Source organism: Homo sapiens, chromosome 19, assembly GCF_000001405.40.
Source record: "Homo sapiens chromosome 19, GRCh38.p14 Primary Assembly".
Taxonomy (NCBI): Eukaryota; Metazoa; Chordata; class Mammalia; order Primates; family Hominidae; genus Homo; species Homo sapiens.
The window spans coordinates 8,412,505-8,439,474 of record NC_000019.10 but is presented as its reverse complement, the minus strand read 5'-3'; the positions used below and the strand labels follow the sequence as shown (position 1 = coordinate 8,439,474).

The 26,970-nt window shown below is 51.3% G+C and overlaps 1 protein-coding gene across 8 annotated transcripts, besides 8 other annotated features; it reads right to left on the bottom strand.

Annotated features, from left to right (window-relative positions):
• Positions 1–457: 457 nt before the first annotated feature.
• On the bottom strand, positions 458–26,170 carry MARCHF2 (membrane associated ring-CH-type finger 2). 8 transcript variants are annotated; one of them, NM_001369776.1, is made up of 6 exons: positions 25,681–26,170; positions 20,668–20,938; positions 17,459–17,686; positions 12,671–12,866; positions 8,608–8,817; positions 458–1,087 (listed from the first exon to the last, which is right to left on the bottom strand). In NM_001369776.1, exons 3-6 carry the CDS (start codon positions 17,632–17,634, stop codon positions 929–931), a joined length of 741 nt encoding a protein of 246 aa, NP_001356705.1. In that variant the 5' UTR covers positions 17,635–17,686; positions 20,668–20,938; positions 25,681–26,170; the 3' UTR covers positions 458–928. The 8 variants fall into 8 exon arrangements, 7 of the variants coding, with proteins under 7 accessions (NP_001356705.1, NP_057580.3, NP_001356707.1 ...); NM_016496.5 differs by having other exon boundaries at positions 26,055–26,170; NM_001369778.1 differs by having other exon boundaries at positions 20,668–20,936; positions 26,055–26,170.
• Positions 14,578–15,441: an enhancer, noted in NCBI's record as "H3K27ac-H3K4me1 hESC enhancer chr19:8488918-8489781 (GRCh37/hg19 assembly coordinates)". NCBI's record gives its function as "activates a minimal SCP1, AML or CMV promoter by ChIP-STARR-seq in primed H9 embryonic stem cells {active_cell/tissue: H9 hESC(primed)}" and the evidence as "EXISTENCE:reporter gene assay evidence [ECO:0000049][PMID:30033119]".
• Positions 21,127–21,271: an enhancer, noted in NCBI's record as "145 bp enhancer 154 fragment used in the MPRA reporter construct; PK_construct_4099". NCBI's record gives its function as "activates an SV40 promoter by MPRA in K562 cells {active_cell/tissue: K562}" and the evidence as "EXISTENCE:reporter gene assay evidence [ECO:0000049][PMID:23512712]".
• Positions 21,191–21,208: a transcriptional cis regulatory region, noted in NCBI's record as "GATA motif; enhancer activity is reduced when this motif is scrambled". NCBI's record gives its function as "necessary for full MPRA enhancer 154 activity {active_cell/tissue: K562}" and the evidence as "EXISTENCE:site-directed mutagenesis evidence [ECO:0005528][PMID:23512712]".
• Positions 23,556–23,850: a silencer, noted in NCBI's record as "tiled region #12836; HepG2 Repressive non-DNase unmatched - State 23:Low, and K562 Repressive DNase matched - State 8:EnhW". NCBI's record gives its function as "represses a minimal TATA promoter and a strong SV40 promoter by Sharpr-MPRA in HepG2 and K562 cells {active_cell/tissue: HepG2 | K562}" and the evidence as "EXISTENCE:reporter gene assay evidence [ECO:0000049][PMID:27701403]".
• Positions 26,004–26,163: a silencer, noted in NCBI's record as "silent region_10023". NCBI's record gives its function as "represses an Ori minimal core promoter by ATAC-STARR-seq in GM12878 lymphoblastoid cells {active_cell/tissue: GM12878}" and the evidence as "EXISTENCE:reporter gene assay evidence [ECO:0000049][PMID:35858748]".
• Positions 26,004–26,553: a biological region, named in NCBI's record as "H3K27ac hESC enhancer GRCh37_chr19:8477814-8478314".
• Positions 26,045–26,545: an enhancer, noted in NCBI's record as "H3K27ac hESC enhancer chr19:8477814-8478314 (GRCh37/hg19 assembly coordinates)". NCBI's record gives its function as "activates a minimal SCP1, AML or CMV promoter by ChIP-STARR-seq in naive H9 embryonic stem cells {active_cell/tissue: H9 hESC(naive)}" and the evidence as "EXISTENCE:reporter gene assay evidence [ECO:0000049][PMID:30033119]".
• Positions 26,194–26,553: a silencer, noted in NCBI's record as "silent region_10022". NCBI's record gives its function as "represses an Ori minimal core promoter by ATAC-STARR-seq in GM12878 lymphoblastoid cells {active_cell/tissue: GM12878}" and the evidence as "EXISTENCE:reporter gene assay evidence [ECO:0000049][PMID:35858748]".

Here is a 26,970-nt window from a genome sequence, read left to right as displayed (position 1 = left end):
CCACCTCAGCCTCCCAAAGTGCTGGAATTCCATGCATGAGCCACTGTGCCTGGCCAACCAGTGTTTTTTGTTGTTGTTTTGTTTTGTTTTGTTTTGGAGATGGAGTCTCTCTCTGTCGCCAGGTTGGAGTGCAGTGACGCCATCTCAGCTCACTGCAACCTCCACCTCCCAGGTGCAAGCGATTCTCCTGCATCAGCTTCCTGTGTAGCACCTGGGATTACCGGCGCGCACCACCATGCCCAAGTAATTTTTATATTTTTAGTAGAGACAGGGTTTCACCATGTTAGCCAGGATGGTCTCGATCTCTTGACCTTGTGATCCACCCACCTCAGCCTCCCAAAGTGCTGGGATTACAGGAGTGAGTCACTACACCTGGCTGGCCGCCAGTGTTATTTTTTTACCTCCATGTGGTCCCTCCCTGGGAGGCCTCCTTTGAGAAACATAACTGACAAGTCCATTTTGTCCAGCCAGGGCTCCTTTTATTCATTCAGGGGTGGGTTTTTGAAACGCAGTGCAACTTTTATATAAAGTCGAGGGTGCCAGGAAAGTGGGCCTGCCGGGTGCAGAGAAGCGCAAGAAGCTTGCTGGAATGTTCCAGCTTTAAGGGCGCCCTTGATACACCGGCCACAGCTGCTGGCCCAGAAGGTGCCATGTGGACCTCAGAATGAGATCAGGGTGCCTGCTCCGTCCAGAGCTCAGGACCATGTCCACCTGTCCTCCATATGCAAAAAAAAAAAAAAAAAAACCCTGAAAATATCTTCACACAGGATCACAGACTAGGCTCTGCATGGTGTCTCTTGGCCTAAGAAGCGTTCAGGCCGTGCGGGAACTGTTGAAGTGGAAGTGTTGAAGTGGAAGTCCTTCCACAGGACAGGGTATCACCAGCTACCTCTGGCCTCTCTGCTGCAGGGTCCGGAGAGCCCAGCATTCATACTGGTGTCTCCTCTGCCACCTTCTTCAGGAGTCCAGCTGCCAGTGGAGAATGCTGGGGGCCCTCGGGGCTGTCCGCCTCCCGGATCTTCAGGCGAACTTTCTGGTTGGTCTTTCTCCACTCGGAGTACAGCTGGCAGTGGTAGCGGAAGGAGACCTGTGGGGCAGCCCTGCAGTGAGCGGAGGCCTCCACCCGCAAGGGAGGAAAACAAGTCGCCGTGGTGGCACCTGCGTTGGCCCAAACCATGGCTGGGGCTCATGCTTCCAGAAGCAGAGCTGGCTTATGAACATTCCTCCCACAAAGTGCACACACACAGACCCATTCACACTCCTGGTGACACCCACCAGCTTCCAGAGTCCTGCAAAGACAAGATACACCCCACACACACCAGCAGGAAGCAAACGGGAGCTCCTTTCCTGCCTCTCAGTGGGAAAGGAGTGAAACAGCCTCTTGGAAGGCATTAAATGTCAATCAATCAGGCCGGGCGAGGTGGCTCACACCTGTAATCCCAGTAGTTTGGGAGCCCGGGCACGGGGGAAGATCACTTGAGCTCAGGAGTTCAAGATCAGCCTGGGCAACATGGAGAAACCCTGTCTCTACTAAAAACCCCGTCTCTACTAAAAATACAAAAATTAGCCTGGCGTGGTGGCACGGACCTGTAGTCCCAGCTACTTGGGAGGCTGAGGCAGGAGAATCGCCTGAGCCTGGGAGATATGGGCCGCAGTGAGCCGAAATCACGCCACTGCACTCCAGCCTGGGCGACAGAGTGAGACCCTGTCTCAAAAAAATTTTTTTAATGTAAATCAGTCACATAATTGCCAAAACGTGCAACCAGAACGTGCAAACAAAAAAAAAAAGTTTAAAAAAAAAAAAGTCACTCAATAGGTGAATGAGGCCAGGCGTGGTGGCTCACGCCTGTAATCCCAGCACTTTGGGAGGCCAAGGCAGGTGGATCATGAGGTCAGGAGATCGAGACCATCCTGGCTAACACGGTGAAACGCCATCTCTACTGAAAATACAAAAAATTAGCCGGCCGTGGTGGTGGGCGCCTGTAATCCCAGCTACTCGGGACGCTGAGGCAGGAGAATGGTGTGAACCTGGGAGGCAGAGCTTGCAGTGAGCCGAGATCGCACCACGGCACTCCAGCCTGGGCGACAGAGCGAGACTCCGTCTCAAAAAAAAAAAAAAAAAAAATAGGTGAATGAATAAATAAACAGTGGTGCTTCCAGATAATGAGATCTTATTCAGTGCTAAAAAGAAACGAAGCTGGGTAAGGTGGCTCATGCCTGTAATCCCAGCACTTTAGGAGGTCGAGGCGTGGGGACCACTTGAGCTCAGGAGTCGAAGGCCAGCCTAGGCAACATAGCGAGACCTTGTCTCTACCAAATATTTAAAAATTAGCCAGGTGTGGTGGCCCAGGCCTGTGGTCCCAGCTACTTAGGAGGCTGGGGTAGGAGAATCATTTGAGCCCTGGAGGTTGACGCTGCAGCAAGCTGTGCTCACGCCACTGCAATCCAACAGAGTGAGATCCTGTCTCAAAAAAAAAAAAAAAAATGCTGGGCGCAGTGGCTCAAACCTGTAATCCCAGCACTTTGGGAGGCCAAGGTGGGTGGATCACCTGAGGTCCAGAGTTTGAGACCAGCCTGACCAACATGGAGAAATCCCATCTCTATTAAAAATACAAAATTAGCCAGGCATGGTGGCGGGTGCCTGTAATTCCAGCTACTCAGGAGGCTGAGGCAAGAGAATCGCTTGAACCTGTGGGGGAGGGGTGCGGAGGCTGCGGTAAGCCGAGATCGCTCCACTTCACTCCAGCCTGGGTGAAAGAGCGAGACTCTGCCTCAAAAAAAAAAAAAAAAAAAAAAAGAAAGCCCTTAAGCCACGAAAATAACCTTAAATGCTTATCACCAAATGAAATAAACCAACCTGAAGATGCTGCATACTGAATGACTCCAACTATAGGACATTCTGGAAAAGGCTAAACCATGGAGACAGTAAAAAGATCAGCAGTGGATAGGGCTTGGGGAAAAGGAGGGTGGCATGAATAGAGAGAGCACAGAGGACTTTTAGGGCAACGAAACTACTCTGTCTGATATTATAATGGTGAATATGGCTGGGTGCAGTGGCTCACACCTGTAATCCTAGCCCTTTGGGAGGCCAAGGTGGGCAGATCACGAGGTCAAGAGATCGAGACCATCCTGGCCAACATGGTGAAACCCCATCTCCAATAAGAATACAAAAATTAGCTGGGCGTGGTGGCACAGGCCTGTAGTCCCAGCTACTCGGGAGGCTGAGGCAGGAGAATCGCTTGAACCCAGGAGGCGGAAGTTGCAGTGAGCCAAGATCGCACCACTGCACTCCAGCCTGGCACACAGTGAGACTCTGTCCCCCCCAAAAAAAAAAATAGTGAATACATGTCATTATACATTCATCAAAACTTATAAATGTCCAACAGCAAGAGTCAACTCCTAGCCTGGGCAACATGGCAAAACCCGGTCTCCACCAAAAAAATACAAAAATTAGCCAGGCGTGGTGCACACATCTGTAATACTAGCTACTCAGGAAGCTGAGGTGGGAGGATCAATTGAGCCTGGGAGGTTGAGGCTGCAGTGAGCCATGATCACGCCACACTGCACTGCAGCCTGGGTGACAAAGAACAATCCTATCCCCTCCCCGCCACACACACACACACACACACACACACACACACACACAGGCCAGGTGCAGTGGCTCACACCTATAATCCCAGCACTCTGGGAAGCCAAGGTTTGAGCCCAGGAGTTTAAGACCAGATACAACAACATAGCAAAACACTGTCTCTACAAAAAATACAAAAACTAGCCAGGTGTGGTAGTGGGCACCTATGGTCCTAGTTACTTGGGAGGGCCGAGGTGGGAGGATCGCTTGAGCCCAGGAGGTAGAGGTTGCAGTGAGCGGAGATCACACCACTGCACTCCAGTCTGAGAGACAGGGCGAGATACCATCTCAAAACAAACAAACAAAAGAAGTGAATCCTAATGTGAACTATGGCTTTAAAGGGATAATGAAGGTTCACTGATTGTAACAAATGCACTGCTTGGGTAAACGATGTTAATAGTGGGGGAGGCTGTGCAAGTTGTGTGCGTATGGAGCAGGGTGATATACAGGAACTCTCTGTACTTTCTGCTAAATTTTGCTGTGAACCTAAAATTGCTCTAAAAATTAGTCTATAAAAAAATTTAAAAATGGCCTAGTGTGGTGGCTCACACCTGTAATCCCAGCACTTTGGGAGGCAGACACGGGCGGATCACGAGGTCAAGAAATCGAGACCATCCTGGCCAACATGGTGAAACCCTGTCTCTACTAAAAATAAAAAAAATTATCTGGGCATGGTGGCGCACACCTGTAGTCCCAGCTACTCGGGAGGCTGAGGCAGGATAATTGCTTGAACCTGAGAGGCAGAAGTTGCAGTGAGCCAAGATCGCGTCACTACACTCTAGCCTGGTGACAGAGCGAGACTCTGTCTCAAAAAAAAAAAAAAAAATTAAAAAATAAATGTTGCTTAGCGCAATGGCTCACGCCTATAATCCCAGCATTTTGGAAGGCCAAGGTGGGCAGATCACCTGAGTCCAGGAGTTCGAGACCAGCCTGGCCAACATGGTGAAAACTCGTCTCTACTAAAAATACAAAAATTAGCCAGACATGGTGGCAGATGCCTTAATCCCAGCTACTCGGGAGGCTGAGGCATGAGGACTGCTTGAACCCGGGAGGCGGAAGTTGCAGTAAACTGAGATTGCACCATTGCACTCTGGCCTGGGCGACACAGTGAGACTCCGGCTAAATAAATAAATAAATAAATAAAGGTCAGTGGTTCACATCCTTTGACCAAGCAAGTTCCCAAGAAACATTTGCATGGACAGTCCCAAAGCACTGTTCATAATGGAAAAAACAAGGAAGTAGAAATAAAACCACACACACATTGGAAAAAATCCCAGTGCCTGTCAAAAGTGATTTGTTAAATAAATATGGTCCACCCATACAATGAATGTCTGCTGGGTGGCTGCCTCGTTGTGTGTGTGGGTTTTTTTTTTTAAAGAACACCAGCAAAATGAAAACAAGCAGATGCTAAAACAGTAGCTATGATTTCATCCTATTTACATATTTTAAAATATGCTGGTAGGGGCAGGGCGCGATGGTTCATGCCTGTAATCTCAGCACTTTGGAAGGCCAAGGTGGGTGGATACCTGAGGTCAAGAGTTCGAGACCAGCCTGGCCAACATGGCGAAACCCCGTCTCTACTAAAAATATAAAAATTGGCTGGGTGTGGTGGCACATGCCTGTAATCCCAGCTACTCAGGAGGCTGAGACAGGAGAATCGCTTGAGCCCAGGAGGCGGAGATGGCAGTGAGCCAACATTGTGCCACTGCACTCTAGCCTGGGTGACAGAGCAAGACCCCGTCTCAAAAAAAAAAAAAAAAAAAAAGAAATGCTGGTAGGTTCATTGAAAAATACTTTGTGAGGCAGGGACTCCCCTACAGCTGGACAATAGTGGTTATGTCTGAGGGGTGAGATTTGGGGGAGCTTTTGCCTCTAAGCAAGGGTTCTGCTGCCTACCAGAGGCCTAGAACAATACCTCACACCCCCATCATTCTGTCTGTCTCTCATTCAGGCTTTTTTTCTTTTTTTTTTTTTTGAGACAGAGTCTTATTCTGTCACTCAGGCACCCAGGCTGGAGTGCAGTGGCACGATCTTGGCTCACTGTAACTTCCACCTCCCAAATTCAAGTGATTCTTGTGCCTCAGCCTCCCGAGTAGCTAGGATTACTGGCATGTGCCACCACACCTGGCTAATTTTTCTTTTCTTTTCTTTTCTTTTTTTTTTTTTTTTTTGAGACGGAGTCTTGCTCTGTTGCCCAGGTTGGAGTGCAATGGTGCAATCTCAGCTCACTGCAACATCTGCCTCCCAGGTTCAATCGATTCTCCTGCCTCAGCCTCTTGAGTAGCTGGGATTACAGGCATGTGCCACCACACACAGCTAATTTTGTATTTTTAGTAGAGACACGGTTTCACCATGTTAGTCAGGCTGGTCTTGAACTCCTGACCTCGTGATCCACCCGCCTCAGCCTCCCAAAGTGCTGGAATTACAGGCGTGAGCCACCGTGCCTGGCCAATTTTTTGTATTTTTAGTAGAAACGGGGTTTCACCATGTTTCTCAGGCTGGTCTTGAACTCCTGACCTCAAGTGATATGCCCCCCTCAGCCTCCCAAAGTGCTGGGATTACAGGCATGAGCCACTGCACCCAGCCTTTTTTTTTTCCTTTTTCTTTTATTAATATTATTATTTTCTTCGAGACAAGGTCAGGCTCTATCACCCAGGCTGAAGTTCAGTGGTGCAATCTCGGCTCACTGCAACCTCTGCCTCCAGTGCTCAAGCGATCCTCCACCTCACCCTCCGGAGTAGCTGAGACTGCAGGCACGCACCACCACGGCCGACAAACTTTTGTATTTTTTCTAGAGATGGGGTTTTGCCACTTTGCCCAGGCTGGTCTCAAACTCGTAAGCTCAAGCAATCTGCCTGCCTCAACCTCCTAAAGTGCTGGGATTACAGGCGTGAGTCACCATGCCCAGCCCCTATTATTATTTTTTGAGATGGGGTCTCACCATCTTGCCCAGGCTGATCTTGAACTCATGGGCTATGGTGATCCTCCTGCTGCAGCCTCCCAAAATACTGGGATTACAGGCAGAAGCACTGCACCCAGGCTTTTTATCTTTTTTTGATACTGGGTCTTGCTTTGTCACCCAGGGTGGAGTATAGTAGTGTGATCACAGCTCACTGCAGCCTCAAATTCTTGGGCTCAAGTGATCCTCCTGACTCAGCCTCCCAGGTAGCTGGGACTACAGGCATGTGCCACCATGCCCAGCTAATTTTTTAAAATTTTTTGTAGCCACGGGGTCTTTCTATGTTGCCCAGGCTGGTCTTGAACTCCTGGCCTCAAGGGATTTTCCCACCTCGGCCTCCTAAAATATTGGGATTACAGGTGTGAGCCAACATGCCCAGCTAATTATTTTCCTTTTGTAGAGATGGGGTCTCCCTAAGTTGCCCTGCTAGTCTAAAACTCCTAACCTCAAGAGATCTTCCCACCTTGGCCTCCAGAGTAGCTGAGAGTGTAAGTGCACACCACCACTAATTTTTAAATTTTTTATAGAGATGGGCATCTGGCTTTGTTGCCCCGTCCTGGTCTTGAACCTTCTTGCTTCAAGCAATCTTCCTGCCTCAGCCTCCCAGTGTGCTAGGACTGCAGATGTTACAACCACTGGGCCTGGCCTCACTCAGTGTTTTCATCTCAGTTCCTCTCTCTCTTCCCCTTCAATTTTTCTTTTCTTTTCTTTCTTTCTTTTTCTTTTTTTAAAGACAGAATCTCACTCTGTCGCCCAGGCTGGAGTACAGTAGCAGGATCTCAGCTCATTGCAACCTCTGGCTTCTGGGTTTAAGCGATGCTCCTGCCTCAACTTCCCTAGTAGCTGGGATGACAGGCACATGCCACCACACCAGGTTAATTTTTTGTATTTTTAGTAGAGATGGGGTTTCACCATGTTGGCCAGGCTGGTCTCAAACTCCTGACCTCAAGGAATCCGCCTGCCTCAGCCTCCCAAAGTATGGGGATTACAGGCATGAGCCACCGCACCTGGCTTTCCTCTTTCAATTTATTTTTGTTTTTATTTTTATTGAGACAGAGTTTTGCTCTTGTCGCCCAGGCTGGAGTGCAGTGGCGCAATATCGGCTCTCTGCAACCTCTGCCTCCCGGGTTCACGTGATTCTCCTGCCTCAGCCTCCCGAGTAGCTGGGATTACAGGCACCCACCACCACGCACAGCTAAATTTTTGTATTTTTAGTAGAGACAAGGTTTCACCATGTTGGCCAGGCTGGTCTTGAACTCCTGGGCTCAGATGATCCACCTGCCTTGGCCTCCCAAAGTGCTGGGATTAAAGGAGTAAGCCACTGTGCCTGGGTTTTCCCTTTCAATTTCTTTCTTTTTTCTTTTTTCCTTTTTTTTTTTTTTTTTTTTTTGAGATCGAGTTTCGCTCTTTTTACACAGGCTAGAGTGCAATGGCATGATCTAGGCTTACTGCAACCTCCGCCTCCCGAGTTCAAGCAATTCTCCTGCCTCAGCCTCCCAAGTAGCTGGGATTAGAAGCATGTGCCACCACACCTGGTTAATTTGTATTTTTAGTAGAGATGGGGTTTCTTCATGCTGGTTAGGCTGGTCTTGAACTCCCTACCTCAGGTGATCCACCCACCTTGGCCTCCCAAAGTGCTGGGATTACAGGCGTGAGCCACCATGCCCAGCCTCAATTTCTTAATCAATATATATTTCCCCACTATCTTGTTCTCCCCCGATCTCTCTCTCAGGCTTTTGCTCCTCTCTGCCCCACTCCTAATCTTGGGGGTTCATGGATGGGGGTTCCTGCACTCAGGTCAAGGTTCACACCTGGCTCAGGGATTCCCTAGACCTTTGTCACATTTGGAATCTCAAGCTCCTGGAGAGGCAGGGTGACCTCAGAAGCTCTCTTCCACCCACGGCCATAGACAGAGGCAGCCAGGGAGCCCCGTGCCCCACAAGCCAGGGGCCAAATCCTTGGCCCTGCTGCTCCCAGCGGCAGAGCTCGAGACGCGTGCTGCACAACCACAGCCACTCACCAGCGTCCAGAGGACATAGATGGTGAAGAGGGCGATGGTGAGGGCAATGAGACCCACGGCCTCCAGCTGGCTGTGGAGCCGGAGGTGGTCCTGGGCCCCGCGCAGGCACAACCAGCCTGAGATGGCGGCCAGCGGTGTGATGAACAGGAAACACACCATGTCGCAGCACAGTGTCCGCTTCTCCGTCCGCGGCCCCGGGTCCTTCAGCCACTGCAGGGGAGAGGATAGGGGGCAGAGGAGAGGGGGCAGAGAAGGGGCTACTGAGGGGGAGGGGTAAGGACCTCCAGGCCTAGGCCTCCCTCTGTCCTTTCCTTCTTTCTTTTTTTTTTTTTTGAGACAGATTCTCACTCTGTTGCCCAGGATGGAGTGCAATGGTGTGATCTCGGCTCACTGCAACCTCGACCTTCTGGGTTTAAGCAATTCTCCTGTCTCAGCCACCGGAGTAGCTGGGATTACAGGCAAGCGCCACCATGCACGGCTAATTTTGTATGTATATATATTTTTTGAGACAGAGTCTCGCTCTGTCAGCCAGGCTGGAGTGCCGTGGCACGATCTCGGCTCACTGCAACCTCAACATCCCAGGTTCAAGCGATTCTCCCACCTCAGCCTCCCGAGTAGCTGGGATTATAGGCAAGCGCCACCATGCCCTGCTAATTTTGTATTTTTAGTAGAGATGGGGTTTCACCATGTTTGTCAGGCTGGTCTCGAACTTGTGACCTTAAGTGATCTGCCCACCTCGGCCTTCCAAAGTTCTGGGATTACAGGTGTGAGCCACCACGCCTGGCCCTTTCCTTCTTTCAAACATTTATTGAGCCCATGAGGAGCCAGGCCCTGCCAGGTGCTGGGCACATTTACCCCCATTTTACAGATGGGGAAACTGAGGCACAGAGGAATTAACTCAAGTGAGCAAACTCACACAGCTACATAGTCCACAAAGCTGGGGTTCCAACCTGGGAAGTCTTGCTCCAGGGCCGAAGCGTCTTTGGCTACTAATCTACTACGCTTGGCCTTCCCCAGATGACAGGCCAAAAGAAATGGGCTAAAAAAAAAAAAAAAAAAAAAAAGCCCTGGTGTGGTGGTTCACGTCTGTAATCCTAGCACTTTGGCAGGCCAAAGTGGGTGGATCACTTGAGGCCAGGAGGTCAAGACCAGCCTGGCTAACATGGAGAAACCCTGCCTCTACTAAAAATACAAAATTAGCTGGGCGTGGTAGCACGCACCTATAATCCCAGCTACTCAGGAGGCTGAGGCAGGAGAATTGCTTGAACCCAGGAGGTGGAGGTTGCAGTAAGCCAAGATCGTGCCACTGCACTCCAGCCTGGGTGACAGAGTAAGACTCTGTCTCAAAATAATAATAATAATAATAATAATAATAATAATAATAATAAGTTCTTTCATTTCTTTGATTTTTTTGTAGAGACAGGGTCTTGCTGTGTTGCCCAGGCTGGTCTTGAACTCCTGGCCTCAAGTGATCTTCCCACCTTGGCTTCCCAAAGTGCTGGGATTACAGGCATGAGCTACCACACCCAGCCAAGAAATGGGCTTAATTCATGAAATTCTGGTGGATGAGACAGAAAGGGCCCCTGCCCTCCCATGCTGGCAGTGGAGGTATGAAATGGGTGAACGGTCACATGGGGCAAGGCCTTGCCAAGGAGGTGACATTGAAGAGAACGGAATGAACAGAAGGAACCACGTGAAGAATGGGGGAGATGGGGCTCTAGGCTGCAGGGGCGGCAGATGCAAAGGCCCTGGGATAGGGGGAGGCGGCCTAGACAAGATGTGTGGGGAGGGGGCTGTGTGGCTGTAGCACGGAGACCAAAGTGGGTGTGGGAGGGTGTGTGAAGGGGCTGGACCTCCCTCCCACTTTTCTCCCTACACTCTGGCTCCTAGGTGGGCCAGGGGCTTTTCTAGGGTTTTTGTTTTTTGTTTTTTGAGACGGAGTTTCGCTCTTGTTGCCCAGGCTGGAGTGCTGTGGTGCAATCTTGGCTCACTGCAACCTCCGCCTTCCGGGTTCAAGCTGGGATTACAGGCCCCCGCCACCATGCCCAGCTAATTTTTGTATTTTTAGTAGAGACGGTGTTTTACCACATTGGCCAGGCTGGTCTCGAACTCCTGAACTCAGGTGATCCACCCACCTCTGCCTCCCAAAGTGCTGGGATTGTGAGCCACCACGTCCAGCCTTGGTTTTTTTTTTTTTTTTTTTTTTTTTTTTTTTTTTGAGATAGAGTCTCAATCTGTTGCCCAGGCTGGAGTGCAGTGGCGCTATCTCAACTCACTGCAAACTCCGCCTCCCAGCTTTAAGTGATTCTCCTGCCTCAGCCTCCCAAGTAGCTGGGATTACAGGCATGCGCCACCACACCTAGCTTTTTCCTCATCGTTTGAGACAGAGTTTTGCTTTGTCACCCAGGCTGGAGTGCAGTGGCTTAGTCTCAGCTCACTGCAACCTCCGCCTCCCGGGTTCAAGCAATTCTCCTGCCTCAGCCTCCCTAGGGTTCAAGCAATTCTCCTGCCTCAGCCTCCCTAGGGTTCAAGCCAGTCTCCTGCCTCAGCCTCCCTAGTGGATGGGATTATAGGCACCCACCACCATACCTGGCTAATTTTTTTTTTTGAGATGGAGTCTCACTCTGTCGCCCAGGCTGGAGTGCAGTGGCCTGATCTCAGCTCACTGCAAGCTCCGCCTCCTGGATTCAGGCCATTCTCCTGCCTCAGCCTCCCGAGTAGCTGGGACTATAGGCACCTGCAACCACGCCCGGCTAATTTTTTGTATTTTTAGTAGAGATGGGGTTTCACCATGTTAGCCAGGAAGGTCTTGATCTCCTGACCTCGTGATCCGCCCGCCTCGGCCTCCCCAAGTGCTGGGATTACAGGCATGAGCCACCGTGCCCAGCCCACACCTGGCTAATTTTGTATAGCTAGTAGAGACAGGGTTTTCCCATGTTGGCCAGGCTGGTCTTTAACTCCTGACCTCAGGTGATCCATGCATCTTGGCCTCCCAAAGTGCTAGGATTACAGGCGTGAGCCACCGTGTCTGGACTTTTTTTTTTTTTTTTTGTATTTTTTGTATTTTTAGTAGAGACGGGGTTTCACCATGTTGGCCAGGCTGGTCTCGAACTCCTGACCTCAAGTGATCTGCCCGCCTCGGCCTCCCGAAGTGCTGGGATTACAGGCATGAGCCACCGCGCCCGGCAGCTTGTTCCTTTTCATCTCTCAGGCCTCAGCTGGGGGGTTCACCTCCTTTTGAGGCCTTGCCTGACACCCCAAGTTGCCCCACCCCCTGTGACATGTTTTTCCCTTACTGCACTATTGCTCCCAGAAACCAGTTGCTTCGTTGATTTTTTTTTTTTTTTTCTGTAACCTCATATCAGAAGCGATGCTTTGAAGTCCAGATTAAAGTTACTGGACTTTAATCTCCATGAGTGCCCAGCCCTACGTGTCTTGTTGGTGGCTGGGTCCCCAGTGCCTAACAGAGTGCTGGGCATGCTGGAGGTGCCCAGGAAATCTCTGCTAATGAAAGACACAGGCTGGGAGCGGTGGCTCATGCCTGTAATCCCAGCACTTTGGGAGGCTGAGGTGGGCAGATCACTTGAGGTCAGGAGTTCGAGACCAGCCTGGCCAACATGGTGAAACCGCATCTCTACTAAAAATACAGAAAATTAGCTGGGCATGGTGGCGCACGCCTGTCATCCCAGCTACTTGGGAGGCTGAAGCAGAAGAATCGCTTGAACCTGGGAGGCAGAAGTTGCAGTGAGCCGAGATCGCACCACTGCACTCCAGCCTGGACAAGAGTTAGACTCTGTCTCAAAAAAAAGAAGAAGGAGAAGGAAGAAGAAGAAAGAAGAAGAAGAAAGACTGAATGAAAACAGGGAGAGGTTAATGGGTCTGGGAGCTCTTAAACCCTAGGCCTGGTTTCTGACACACCATCAGCAGACCCACCTGGTGGACAGGGGCGGTAGGGAGTTCTGCCCTAGGAGGACCACCAGATTGCCCGGGGCAGCTCCTGCCTTTGGCCCCCATGTCTGCCCTCTCCCCACTGCCCACCGCAGTCTCAGACTCTTAAGGGTACCTCTGTGAGGGGTCGAGGCCGTTTCTCCACTGCAAACTCCGTGTGGCACAGCTCGCAGTAGCTGGTGTTAGATGAGGAAAGCCACTTCTCCAGACAGCTCTTATGCACGGCACCCAGCGTGCCGGTGCAGCCACACGGGGACAGCAAGCACTCCCCGTTCGCTCCCTCATGGCAGATCCGGCAGAAAGGACCATCACTGGACACAGAGATAGGACCCATGAGCAATGATTGGGCTTTCTGTCTATACCTGCTTCACTACCCACTGGATCACAAGCTCACCCTTACCCCATGCTGCCACTTAGTGAACTCCTACTCATCCTTCAATGCCCAGCTCTAAATGTCCTTCCCTTTGGGAAGGAGATGCAGGGAAGGTAACCTTGCGAAGCCTTCCCAGACTCCCACAGGTGGAGTGATGTGTTCCCTTCCCAGGGACCCTGCAGCACCCTCTCAGACCCAAGATGGGCATCTGTTATACCCGCCCCCATGTCCTCTCCAAATTTCCCTAAAATACCCACCCTGATTGTCCTGCACAACTTCCCCACCCTCAACTCTTTTTTTTTTTTTTTTTTTTTTTGAGACAGAGTCTCGCTCTGTCACCCAGGCTGGAGTGCAGTGGTGCGATCTCGGCTCACTGCAAGCTCCGCCTCCCGGGTTCACGCCATTCTCCCACCTCAGCCTCCCGAGTAGCTGGAACTACAGGCACCTGCCACCACGCCCGGCTAATTGTGTTTTTGTATTTTTAGTAGAGACGGGGTTTCACCGTGTTAGCCAGGATGGTCTCGATCTCCTGATATTGTGATCCGCCTGCCTCAGGCTCCCAAAGTGCTGGGATTACAGGCGTGAGCCACCGCACCCGGCCCCCAATCCTCGACTCTTAATCCTCAAAGACCAGCTGGGTGAGGTGGCTCATTCCTGTAATCCCAGTACTTTGGGAGGCCAAGGCAGGAGGATCATGAGGTCAGGATTTCAAGACCAGCCTGGCCAACATGGTGAAACCCCGTCTCTACTAAAAATACAAAAATTAGCTGGGCGTGGTGGTAGGTGCCTGTAATCCCAGCTACTGGGGAGGCTGAGGCAGGAGTATCACTTCAGCCTGGAAGGCAGAGGTTACAGTGAGCCGAGATTACACCACTGCACTCCAGCCTGGGTGACAGAGTGAGGCTCCGTCTCAAAAAAAAAAAAAAATCCTCAAGGACTAGGGCAGAGCAGACAACACTCCTCATGACCTCAGGCCTCATACTGGACCAGTCAGAACACCAGGCCGGGAGCAGTAGCTCATGCTTGTAATTCTAGCACTTTGGAAGGCTGAAGCGGGAGGATCACTTGAGCCGAGGAGTTCAAGGCCAGTGTGGGCAACCTAGTGAGATCTCATCTCTATAAAAAAAAAATTTTCTTTTTTTTTTTTTGAGATGGAGTCTCGCTCTGTCATCAGGCTGGAGTGCAGTGGTGTGATATCAGCTCACTGCAACCTCCACCTCCCAGGTTCAAGCGATTATCCTGCCTCAGCCTCCCGAGTAGCCTCAGCCTCCCGAGTAGCTGAGACTACAGGCACATGCCACCATGCCCAGCTAATTTTTTTTTTTTCTGTATTTTAGTAGAGACGGGGTTTCACCGTGTTAGCCAGGATGGTCTCAATCTCCTGACCTCGTGATCTGCCCGCCTCAGCCTCCCAAAGTGCTGGGATTACAGGCGTGAGCCACCACGCCCGGTCCCAAAATTTTTTTTAAAGACTTATCTTGGCGTGGTGGTACATGTTGTGGTCCCAGCTACTTGGGAGGCTGAGGCAGGAGGATCACATGTGCCCAGGAGTTCAAAGCTCCAATGACCCATAATTGTACCACTATACTCCAGCTTGGACAACAGAGTGAGACCATTTGAAAAAAAGAAAAAGAAAATAGAACAGCACGCACCCCTGCTCATGCAACCAACTCAGGCTTGTATGATACCATCAGAGTCACCGATAATCTATTCCTAAAATTCTTTGTTTCCCCGTAAACTCCAGAACTGTCGGCCACAAGGCTGACAGAAGCCTGGAGCTCCTGCAGCTGCCTAGTCTGTGTGGAGCCTGTGAATGATGCCAGCACAGAGGAGAGCAGAGCCAAGAGACAGGGAAAGGTAGATTTTTTTTTTTCTTTTTTTTGAGACAGTGTTGCTCTGTCACCCAGGCTGGAGTGCAGTGGCGCGATCTCGGCTCACTGCAAGCTCGACCTCCCAGGTTCATGCCATTCTCCTGCCTCAGCCTCCAGAGTAGCTAGGACTACAGGCGCCGGCCACCACGCCCGGCTAATTTTTTGTATTTTTTGTAGAGACGGGGTTTCACCGTGTTAGCCAGGATGGTCTCGATCTCCTGACCTCGTGATCCACCCGCCTCGGCCTCCCAAAGTGCTGGGATTACAGGCGTGAGCCACTGCGCAAGGCCTGGGAAAGGTAGATTCTTAAGGACATCTTTGCGGGCCCCTGGATCTAATCACACCTGAAGCCCGTGCTACCTGAGAAACCTGTGCATCCAGAGAGAAGTGCTCACCTGCTCCTCTGCCCTTGTGAGGGGGAAATAGAAATAAAAAGCATCTGCAGAAAGCTGCCTCGGAAAAGTCTCCAGCCCTGGCCCAGTCTCTGGGGATGCCGGGTCCTTCCCAGGGCAGCTCAGGAGGCAGGGGGCGTGGCCCAGAGGCCAAACAGCCATGAGTCACTGTTTCCCAAACATTTCTGGCCAGAAGGCAGACTGTGAGGTCACACAAAGAAGAGCTATTTTCCAGACAACGCCAATTTCCTCTCAGAGAGACTGTATTTTTTTTTCTTTCTTTTTTTTTTTTTTTTTTGAGTCACCCAGGCTGGAGTGCAGTGGTGCAATCACAGCTCACTGCAGCCTCGGACTCCCTAGCTCGAGCGATCCTCCTGCCTCAGTCTCCCGAGTAGCTGGGACTACAGGTGGCACCACGCCACACAGCTAATATTTTTTAACTTTTTCTAGAGAGGGGGGTCTCACTATGTTGACCAGGCTGGTCTTGAGCTTCTGGGCTCAAGCGATCCTTCAGCCTTGGACTTCCAAAGTGCTGGGACTACAGGCATGAGCGACCACGCCTGCCTGGAAATGACTGTTTTCTATCCTTTTCTCAGATTCTCATGCTGCGGGGTGGAGTTGGGCGGCTTTAAAAAGAGCCCAACAGGCTGCTCATGGCTGCTTTCTCAACAGTCCTGTCCCTGGACTGCTATTTCCTCCTGCAATGGCAAAAGGGCATGCCTGCCTGCCTCCTTTCTGAACCCATACCCCGATCCCACCCTCCCCCAAGTACACACACAAACAAAGTTAACAAAAAAGGAACCCTTTGTCCGGAAACCAACCCAGGGAAACAGAAGTGACGAGAATCTTGAGGAAGAATCATGTCAGTTTGGAGCTTGTTCTGGGAAACTGTGAAAAAGTTTGGGAGAGCAAATTCAGAGAAGAGGCCAGGCACAGTGGTTCATGCCTGTAATCCCAACACTTTGGGAGGCCGAGGTGGGTGGGTCATCTGAGGTCAGGAGACCAGCCTGACTAACATGGTGAAACCCCGTCTCTACTAAAAAAATACAAAAATTAGTCGGGCATGGTCGGGGCGGGGGGGCTGTAATCCTAGCTACTTGGGAGGCTGAGGCAGGAGAATCGCTTGAACCCAGGAGGCAGAGGTTGCAGTGAGCTGAGATCATGCCACTGCACTCCAGCATGGGTGACAAAGTGAGACTCTGTCTCCAAAACAACAAAACAAAACAAAAAAACAAATTCAGAGAAGAGAGGAAAAAAAAAGCCTTAATATTTGTTGAGCACGGCCAGGCGCGGTGGCTCACGCCTGTAATCCCAGCACTTTGGGAGGCTGAGGTAGGTGGATTATGAGGTCAAGAGATCAAGATCAGCCTGGCCAACATGGTGAAACCCCATCTCTACCAAAAATACAAAAATTAGCTGGGTGTGGTGGCGCGTGCCTGTAGAACCAGGTACTCAGGAGGCTGAGGCAGGAGAATCGCTTGAATCCGGGAGGCGGAGGTTGCAGTGAGCCGAGATCACGCCACTGTACTCCAGCCTGAGTGACAAAGCAAGACTCTCTAAAAAAAAAAAAAAAAAAAAAAATTTAAAAAGAGGCTGGGCACGGTGGCTCACACTTATAATCCCAGCAGTTTGGGAGGCCGAGACGGGCAGATCACCTGAGGTCAGGAGTTTGAGACCAGCCTGGCCAACATGGCGAAACCCCGTCTCTGCTAGAAGTACAAAAACTAGCCAGGTGTGGTGACGGGTGCCTGTAATCCCAGCTACTCGGGTGGCTAAGGCAGGAAAATCACTTGAACCTGGGAGGCGGAGGTTTCAGTGAGCTGAGACTGCGCCACTGCACTCCAGCCTGGGCAACAAAATGAGACTCTGTTTCAAAAAAAAAAGAGAGATACAGTGGTGAAGTAATTTGTCCCAGGTCACTCTGGGAGAGAGAGAGGTGTCCACTCAGGGTCAGGGCCGAGGCACTGAGCCCACAGCCTGCACTCCTGACCGCCCCCTATACTGCCTCCCAAAAGTGTGTTACTTGACAACATTTGACCTTCAGATTTCACATAATAATCTGGAATTTCAGCTTTTCCTAAAGAATCAGACCCGGCCAAAGCTAGGCCTCTGTTTCCACAAGGCGATAACTGTTTGTGTCTCTTTCTCTATTTACCCACTTGGCCCTCTGTCAACGGTTGGACTTCTAACCCCAGGCTGGGAGAAACTCACTGCGCCCAGAGAGAAGAGGCAACAAAGGCCAGGATATCCACGCAGTCACCACTCACCTCGGTGTGTCCAAGGCACGGATGACGGTGGAGAGGAGCCGGCCATCCCTTGAAGTCACCTGTGCCACATACTGGGGCGGTCCGAGGCCCGTAGCCTCCACGACCTTGGAGAAGGCAGGGCTGCCGGAGCAGTCACACAGGGAGCCGGGGAGGTGGCAGCAGTCACCCGTCGTCATGGCCACCGGGAGCCCCGTATCCTCAGGGCCTGAGGCCCATGGTTCCAGGAGCCTGGGAACAGGCCAGTGCGGAGGTTAGGGGCAAGGTTAATGAGCCTGACGGACTAAGGTTTGAGTCCCCTCTTGTCAAGGCTGTAGGGACCACTAGACCATTTACATCTCTGAGCCTCAGTTTGCACCATCTGTAAAATGGGCCTCTGTAGGGCCAGTGAGGATTCAAGGAGACGATGCATGTAACTCAGCACAAGGCTGGTATACAGCAGGAGCTTGGGTTGTATTATTTCTCACTCTCCTAAGAAAAGCTATGCTTCCCTGGCCAGGCGCGGTGGCTGACGCCTGTAATCCCAGCACTTTGGGAGGCTGAGGCGGGTGGATCACGAGGTCAAGAGATCAAGACCATCCTGGCCAACATGGTGAAACACTGTCTCTACTAAAAATACAAAAAAAAAAAAAAAAAAGAAAAGAAAGAAAAAAGTAAAAAAAAAAGAAAAGCTAGGTTTCCCATTCTGGCTAACACAGTGAAACCCCATCTCTACTAAAAATACAAAAAATTAGCCAGGCTTGGTGGCACGCGCCTGTAGTCCCAGCTACTTGGGAGGCTGAGGCGGGACAATCGCTTGAACCCAGGAGGGGGAAGTTACAGTGAGCCGAGATCACGCCACTGCACTCCAGCCTGGGCGACAGAGCAAGACTCTGTCTCAAAAAAAAAAAAAAACCCAAAAAAAACAGGAAAGCTAGGCCTGGCCAGGTGTGGTGGCTCATGTCTATAGTCCCGGTGCTTTGAAAGCCAAGGTAGGAGGATTGTTTGAGCCCCAGGAGTTTGAGACCAGCCTAGGCAACACATCAAGACTCTATCTTTATAAAAAATGAGAAAATTAGGCCAGGAGCAGTGGCTCACACCTGTAATCCCAGCACTTTGGATTCAAGACAATCCGCCTGCCTCCGATTGCCTCAGCTCAGGAGTTTGAGACCAGCCTGGGCAACATGGTGAAACCCTGGCTCTACTAAAGAAAACCAAAAATATTAGCCAGGCATGGTAGCACAAGCCTATAGTCCCAGCCACTTGTGAGGCTGAGGTGGGAGGATGACTTGAGCCCAGGAGTTTGAGGCTGCAGTGAGCTATGACGGTGCCCACAGCACTCCTGCCTATGCCACAGAGTGAGAACCTGTCTCTAAAAAAGAGAAGACAAGAAAAGCTAGGCCTCCTCTTACCCTCAAAGCCTCCAGGGCCAGGACCACCTTTCAACTAATATCACCTTTCCAGATAAGGTATCAGAACCAGTTCTTTTTTTTTTTTTTTTTTTTGAGACAGAGTTTCGCTGTGTTGCCCAGGCTGGAGCGCAGTGGCACGATCTCAGCTCACTGCAACCTCCACCTCCTGGGTTCAAGCGATTCTCCTGCCTCAGCCCCCCAAGTAGCTGGGACTACAGGCATGCACCACCATGCCTGGCTAGTTTTTGTATTTTTATTTATATTTATTTATTTTTTTTTTAAGATGGAGTTTCACTCTTGTCGCCCAGGCTGGAGTGCAATGGCATGATCTCGGCTCACTGCAACCTCCACCTTACGGGTTCAAGCGATTCTCCTGCCTCAGCCTCCCAAGTAGCTGGGATTACAGGGGCCCACCACCACACTCAGCTAATTATTTATTTATTTATTTATTTATTTATTTATTTATTTTTTGAGACGGAGTCTCACTCTGTCGCCCAGGCTGGAGTGCAGTGGCGCGATCTCAGCTCACTGCAAGCTCCACCTCCTGGGTTCACACCATTCTCCTACCTCAGCCTCCTGAGTAGCTGGGACTACAGGCGCCCGCCAACACACCCGGCTAATTTTTTGAATTTTTAGTACAGACGGGGTTTCACCATGTTAGCCAGGATGATCTCCATCTCCTGACCTTGTGATCCACCTGCCTCAGCCTCCCAAAGTGCTAGGATTACAGGTGTGAGCCACTGCGCCCGGCAATTATTTTTATTTTTATTTTTATTTTTTATTTTTATTTATTTATTTATTTATTTTTTTTTTGAGACGGAGTCTTGCTCTTTCGCCCAGGCTGGAGTGCAGTGGCCTGATCTCAGCTCACTGCAAGCTCTGCCTCCCGGGTTCACGCCATTCTCCTGCCTCAGCCTCCCGAGTAGCTGGGTCTACAGGCGCCCGCCACCACGCCCGGCTAATTTTTTCTATTTTTAGTAGAGACGGGGTTTCACCGTGTTAGCTAGGATGGTCTCGATCTCCTGACCTCGTGATCCGCCCGCCTCGGCCTCCCAAAGTGCTGGGATTACAGGTGTGAGCCACCGCGCCCGGCCAATTATTTTTATTTTTATTGTATTTTATTTATTTATTTTTTGAGATGGAGTCCGGCTCTGTTGCCCAGGCTGGAGTGCAATGGCGCGATCTTGGCTCACTGCAACCTCCGCCTCCCGGGCTCAAATGATTCTCCTACCTCAGCCTGCTGAGTAGCTGAGACTACAGGCATGCGCCACCATGCCCAGCTAATTTTTGTATTTTTAGTAGAGATGGGGTTTCACCATTTTGGCCAGGATAGTTTTGATCTCTTGACCTTGTGATCCTCCTGCCTTGGCCTCCCAGAGTGCTGGGATTACAGGCATGAGCCACCACGCCCGGCTAATTTTTGTATTTTTAGTAGAGATGGGGTTTCACCATGTTGGCCAGGATGGTCTCAAACTCCTGACCTCAGGTGATCCATCTGCCTCGGACTCCCAAAGTGCTGGGATTACAGGTGTGAGCCACTGCACCCGGCCCGGCAGAGAATTTCATTGAAGAAACAAGGGCCCTTTCTGGAGACCTCCTTGAAGCCAATACAGGTGCCCTGGAGCCAAGGATCTCTGTTCCCAGCTTGTCCAACCCCCAAGAGCTACAATGTCCAGAGCCCCTGCAGCCCCTAAAGTGTTCAGAAAGTCCAAGCAAGAGAGGCAATCAAGTACTCAGCGAAGTATTCCCACCCCCACCCCAAGTCAGCTTGTAAACTGCCAATCAAAATCCGAGCCCTGGGCCAGGGGAAGTTGTTCATACCTGTAATCCCAGCGCTTTGGGAGGTCCAAGCAGGAGGATCACTTGAGGCCAGGAGTTTGAGACGAGCTAGGGCAACATAGAGAGACCCTATCTCTCTGAAGGTTTTTTTGAATTAGCCAGGCATGGTGCTGAAAGCCTGTAGTCCCAGCTACTTGGGAGGCTGAGGAGGGAGCCTCAACCTCTTGAGCCCAGGAGTTCAAGGCTGTAGTGAGCTATGATCACACCACTGCACTCCAGCCTGGGTAACAGAGCAAGACCCAGTCTCCAGTCTCTAAAACAGAACAAAAGAAAGCAAGCAAACAAACAAACAAAAAAACAAATCTGAGCTCCAAAGTGGGGAGGTGAAGGAACAGGGGAGCAATTACTAACTCTTGCGCTAGGACGGTTCACTGCTGGATAAATGCCCTCTAAACAGCTCAGCCAGCAGCCTTCCTGGCCTCACATGTTCTTCTGAGCATCATAGTCAGGCCTCTGCAGGCCAGATAAGCAAGTATTGCCCAAAGGCAGGGACCCAAGAGGAAGACTGCAGGCCTGAGATAACACCCACAGGGCAGTGGCCGGGCCTGACACAGGGTGCCTGCTGCTCTCCCTCCCAAGTCCCTGCAACCAGAACCTTAAGCTCAGAGGCCAAAGGGGAAGCGGCTGGGCTCTTTACGGGAAGGCAGGCAGAGGCGAGTCCTTTCCTCCAGCCCAGCCCTTCTGAGGCTAGGTCTTTACATTTCTTTTTTTTTAAGACAGGGTCTTGGCCGGGCGTGGTGACTCATGCATGTAATCCCAGCACTTTGGGAGGCCGAGGTGGGCAGATCACCTGAGGTCAGGAGTTCAAGACGAGCCTGACCACATGGAGAAACCCCGTGTCTACTAAAAATACAAAAAAATTAGCCAGGCATGTTGGCGCATGCCTGTAATCCCAGCTACTCGGGAGGCTGAGACAGGAGAATCACTTGAACCTGGGAGGCAGAGGTTGCAGTGAGCCGAGATCGCACCATTGCACTCCAGCCTGGGCAACAAGAGTGAAATTCTTTCTCAAAAAAAAAAAAAAAAAAAAAAAAAAAAAAAGACAGGGTATTGGCCGGGCGTAGTGGCTCATGCCTGTAATCCCAGCACTTTGGGAGGCCGAGGCGGGCGGATCACCTGAAGTCAGGAGTTCGAGACCAGCCTGGCCAACATGGCAAAACCCCATCTCTACTAGAAGCACAAAAATTACTTGGGCATGGTGGCGGGCAACTGTAATCCCAGCTACTTGGGAAGCTGAGGCAGGAGAATCGCTTAAACCTGAGAGATGGAGTTTGCAGTGAGCTGAGATCACGCCACTGCACTCCAGCCTGGGTGACAGCAAGACTTCATCCCCCCGCCCAAAAAAAAAGACAGGGTCTCACTCTGTTACCCAGGCTGAAATGCAGTGGTGTGATCTCAGCTTACTGCAACCTCAGGCTCCTGGGTTCAAGCAATTCTCCTGCTTCAGCCTGTCGAGTAGCTGGGACTACAGCTGTGTTTCACCACACCCAGCTCGTTTTTGTATTTTTAGTAGAGACAGGGTTTCACCACGTTGGCCAGGCTGGTCTCCAACTGCTGATCTCAAGTGATCTGCCCGCCTCGGCCTCCCAAAGTGCTGGGATTACAGGCTTGAGCCACCACCCCTGGCCTGGTCTTTACATTTCTGCAAATAACTGGATATTACAGGAACTATCCCAGCTCCTGCATGTGGTGTTCTAATATTTCTTCTATCAGGGAGAAAAAAAAAAAACCACAGGTAAATCTCTTAATGCAAGGCCTGCAAACCACCAAAATTATACTAGCAGCTTCTATCTATTAAGAACCAGACACTATGCCAAGCAATCTCCATACATAGTCATCATCTCACTGAACTCGAAACAGTTGTTATAAGTGTCTCCTTCAAAGGTCACCTTCCTGGAGAAGCCTTCTCGACAATGCTGTCTGGGGCCTGGCGCATTGGCTCATGCCTGTAATCCCAACACTTTGGGGGCTGAGGTGGGAGGATCGCTTGAGCCCAGGAGTTTGAGAGAAGCCTGGGCAACATACCAAGACCCCGTCTCTACAAAAAATACAAAAATGAGCCGGGTGTGGTGATGTGCGCCTGTAATCCCAGCTACTCAGGAGGCTGAGGTGGGAGAATCGCTTGCACCCAGGTTGAGGCTGCAGTGAGCCATGATCACACAACTGCACTCCAGCCTGGGCCACAGAGCAAGACCCTGTCTCAATCAATCAATGAAGTGCCAATGGGGTCCACTTGATTCCACTCGTGGCATGTGTCCCTGTCTGAAACATTCTACTTATTCACCTACGTATTTAGCCACGTCTGTTGTCCTACCCTACAGTGAATTCTGTAAAAAAGAGACCCTGTCAGATTGCCTCCCGCTGTCCCCAGCACCTGGCCCTCTGTCTAGCCCAGAGCTGCTGCATTTCTGGTTGCTGCTGCAGTCATTTTTTTTTTTTTTTTTTTTTTGAGACAGAGTCTCGCTCTGTCGCCCAGGCTGGAGTACAGTGGCCGATCTCAGCTCACTGCAACCTCCACCTCCTGGGTTCAAGGGATTCTCCTGCGTCAGCCTCCCGAGTAGCTGGGATTACAGGCACCCACCACCATACCCGGCTAATTTTTGTATTTTTAGTAGAGACAGGGTTTCACCATGTTGGCCAGGCCAGTCTCGAACTCCTGACCTCGTGATCCGCCCACCTCAGCCTCCTAAAGTGCTGGGATTACAGGCATGAGCCACTGTGCCTGGCCATGTTGTAGTCATTTCTCAATCCTCACTCCGTTTAAGAACAGCGTGAGAGAGCCACATCTCTTGACCCTCCGATCCTGGTCGGCCAGCCCCTGTGGTGGGCATCAGAGATATTTAGAGGCTAGAGGTCCACTCAAACCACAGAGGCCCAGGCCTGGAAGAGGCCAAACTTGAGGCTGGACACAAAGAGAGGGTGACTGCAAGTCGGACTCAGCTCTGAGGCTGCTGAAATGGGAGAGTGATCTGATGGCTCCAGCAAACTTGGCCCAGTGCCCAGGAGATTTATTTCTCTTCTTTCTTTTGTCTGGTTTTTTTTTTTGTTTTTTTTGTTTTTTTTTTTTTGAGATGGAGTTTCACTCTTGTTGCCCAGGGTGGAGAGCAATGGCACCACCTCGGTTCTCTGCAACCTCCGCCTCCCAGGTTCAAGCGATTCTCCTGCCTCAACCACCAGAGTAGCTGGGATTACCGGTGCCCTCCACCCACAGCTGGCTAATTATTTGTATTTTTAGTAGAGACGGGGTTTCACCATGTTGGCCAGGATGGTCTCAAACTCCTTATCTCAGGTGATCCACCCGCCTTGGCTTCCCAAAGTGCTGGGATTACAGGCATGAGTCACCGCGCCTGGCCTATTTCTTTTCTTTCTTTTGTCTGTTTTTTTTTTTTTTTCTTTTGAGGCAGGGTCTCAATCTGTCACCCAAAAGGCTGGAGGGCAGTGTAGTAATCACAGCTCACTGAAGCTTCCACCGCCCCCAGGTTCAGGTGATCCTCCCACCTCAGCCTCCTGAGTAGCTCTGCACACCACCACATCCAGCTAATTTTTGTATTTTTTTGTAGAAATGGTGTTTTGCCAAGTTGCCCAGGCTGGTCCTGAACTCCTGGCCTAGTGATCTGCCCGCCTTGGCCTCTCAAAGTGTTGGGATTACAGGCATGAGCCACCACGCCCGGCCTGGAGATAGATCTCATTGAGTCTTCACAACAAACCAATAATTACACCCTATGATGGGGAAAGAGGCTGAAGCTCGGAGAGAGGCACCTACTTTCCCAAGGTCATATAGCTAGGAAGGGGTGGTGTCAGAATTTGAACTTAAAACAGTCCAGGGAGTGGTTCTGGACCTCAAGAGACCTGGGTTCTTTAACTCCTGGCCCTCCTGGCTATGCCACCGATGCTGGGTGTCCTGGTTCAAGTCACTTTGCTTCTCTGGGCCTCATTCTAATGATGGAGCTGGTGGACTCTGTCCGTGGAGGGGTCTCCTGAGAAGGAGCCTCCAGGCTGAATTCATCCAGTAAAGCTCACCCTTAGCTAGGCTTGTTTAGGGTGGCACTGAGGCCCCCCAGTCTTTTCCATACCTGCCCAGGCTCCTTTTCCTGAAGGTAGGAAACAGAGGGCAGAGGAATCAGAGGGCCCTAAAACTCCCTACATTGTGGTCTCAGGCAGCTGTTTTACTCTCTCAGCCTCAGTATTATCATCTCTAAAATGAGTGTTACAGGCCGGGCGCAGTGGCTCACGCCTGTAATCCCAGCACTTTGTGCACTTTGGGAGTTCAAGGAAGGTGGATCACTTGAGGCCAGGAGTTCGAGACCAGCCTGGTCAACATGGTGAAACCCCGTTTCTGCTAAAAAGACAAAAATTGGCCAGGCACGGTGGCGGGGGCCTGTAATCCCAACTACTTGACCAGGGTGAGGTAGGAATCGCTTGAATCTGGGAGGCAGAGGTTGCAATGAGCTCAGATCGTGCCACTGCATTCCAGCCTGGGCAAGAGAGAGAGACTCTGTCTAAAAAAAAAAAAGACGGGGAGTCATAATGATATGTAGTTCATAAATTAGTAAAAAATTAAGAAGTTAATAACTATTAGCTCTTATTATAATTACTATCATCAGCTTACAGAGTTGTTGATGAGAGGTCACACAGTCAACCCTGGCACACACAGTAAGTGCTCAATAAAAGCTCTATTAATATTTTTTAGGGTAAATGTGGAGGTTGTTATTGCATTCATTCCTCCCTGCATGAGAAGCAAGGTTCCAATCCCAGCTCTACTCCTTATGTGCTGTGTGGCCCTGGGCAAGACACTTAACCTCTTTGAGCCTGGACTCTCTCAACTGTATAACAGGGGACATTTCTACTGCTTCCACCTACTCAGTATGGTTTCAAAAGAACTGAATGAGCTCAACATGCCCATTTGACTACCCCGTTTTGAGCACCCACATAGCACAGGGCATCCTGTTTCAGCATCTTTGTGCAAAGTGGCTGGGTCATTATATTATAACTTACTATTTTGCAGGCAGAGCCGCTCTGAGAAGGAGGTTGGGGAAGGGCATTGGCCACTTAGCAGTTGCCTACTGTGTGTCAGGCGTTTTCTGCACCAGCCACCTCCTGAATCCTCCCAGAAGCCCCATCAGGTTGGCAATGGGATGACCCAGTTTCACAGGTGGGGAAACCGAGGCTCGGAGAGGCGCCTATGTGTGCCGGACCCCGGAGACCTCCCACCGGCCTTGACACGGGAACTGAGGTCCCCGCGTCCCCGAGAAGGCTGTGGCCAAGGGATCGAGCCCAGCCGTCCCGCCCGGGTGCCGAGCTCCGGCCTCGAACCCGGGGCCGGCCCGCGGACTGGCGTCCTCCGGCCCTACCTGCAGGCCCGTGCCTACCTGATCCGCGGCCGGGCCGGGCGGCCGCACAGGCCCCTCGGTTCGCCTCGGCCCCGGTCCCGGCCCGGCCCGGCCCGTCGGCGCCACTAGCTCCGCTCCGGCCGGCACCTGCGTCCGGGCACCGCCCGCCGAGCCGACAGCGCCGCGGACCAATAGCGACCGCCTCTCGCCTGCATTCGCCAATCGCCTTGCACGTCCCGCCCTAAGAGGCGGGGCCGGAGGCCACAGGGACGACTTGGGCCGCACAGGCCCCGCTGTGCCGCAGCTGCTGGCTCCGCCCCTGCCGCGTCTTGGCTCCGCCCCCAGCTCCGGCTCCGCCCCAGCACTGGCCCCGCCCCAGCCCCGCCCCAGGCACGAGGGGGTGCTGCTGCGCCACCTGCAGACGGCCAGCGTCCTCTAATAAATAAAACCTCTGCAGAATTTAACTTTTTTTTTTTTGAGACTGGCCGGGTGCAGTGGCTCATGCCTGTAATCGGAGCACTTTGGGAGGCCGAGACGGAAGGATCGCTTGAGGCCAGATGTTGGGGACCAGCCTGGGCAACATGGTGAGTTCCCGTCTCTACAAAAAATTTAAAAGGATGGGCGCGGTGGCTCACGCCTGTAATCCTAGCACTTTGGGAAGCCGAGGCGGGCGGATCACGAGGTCAGGAGATCGAGACCATCCTGGCTAACACGGTGAAACCCCGTCTCTACTAAAAATACAAAAAAATTAGCCGGGCGTGGTGGCGGGCGCCTGTAGTCCCAGCTACTCGGGAGGCTGAGGCAGAGGAATGGCGTGAACCCGGGAGGCAGAGCTTGCAGTGAGCCGACATCGCGCCACTGCACTCCAGCCTGGGTGACAGAGTGAGACTCTGTCTCAAATAAATACATAAATAAATAAATAATAAAATAAAATAAAATAAAAGTTAGCCAAGTG

Bases quoted from the DNA above. Each gene is read 5' to 3' on its own strand.
- MARCHF2 (NM_001369776.1), bottom strand. From the start codon at position 17,634: ATGACGACGGGTGACTGCTGCCACCTCCCCGGCTCCCTGTGTGACTGC. The intron at 12,867-17,458 runs GTGAGTGGTGAC...CTCTGTGTCCAG, and splicing joins CGTGCCTTGGACACACCGAG to TGATGGTCCTTTCTGCCGGA. The intron at 1,088-8,607 runs GTGAGTGGCTGT...GCTGCCCCACAG, and splicing joins TCTATGTCCTCTGGACGCTG to GTCTCCTTCCGCTACCACTG.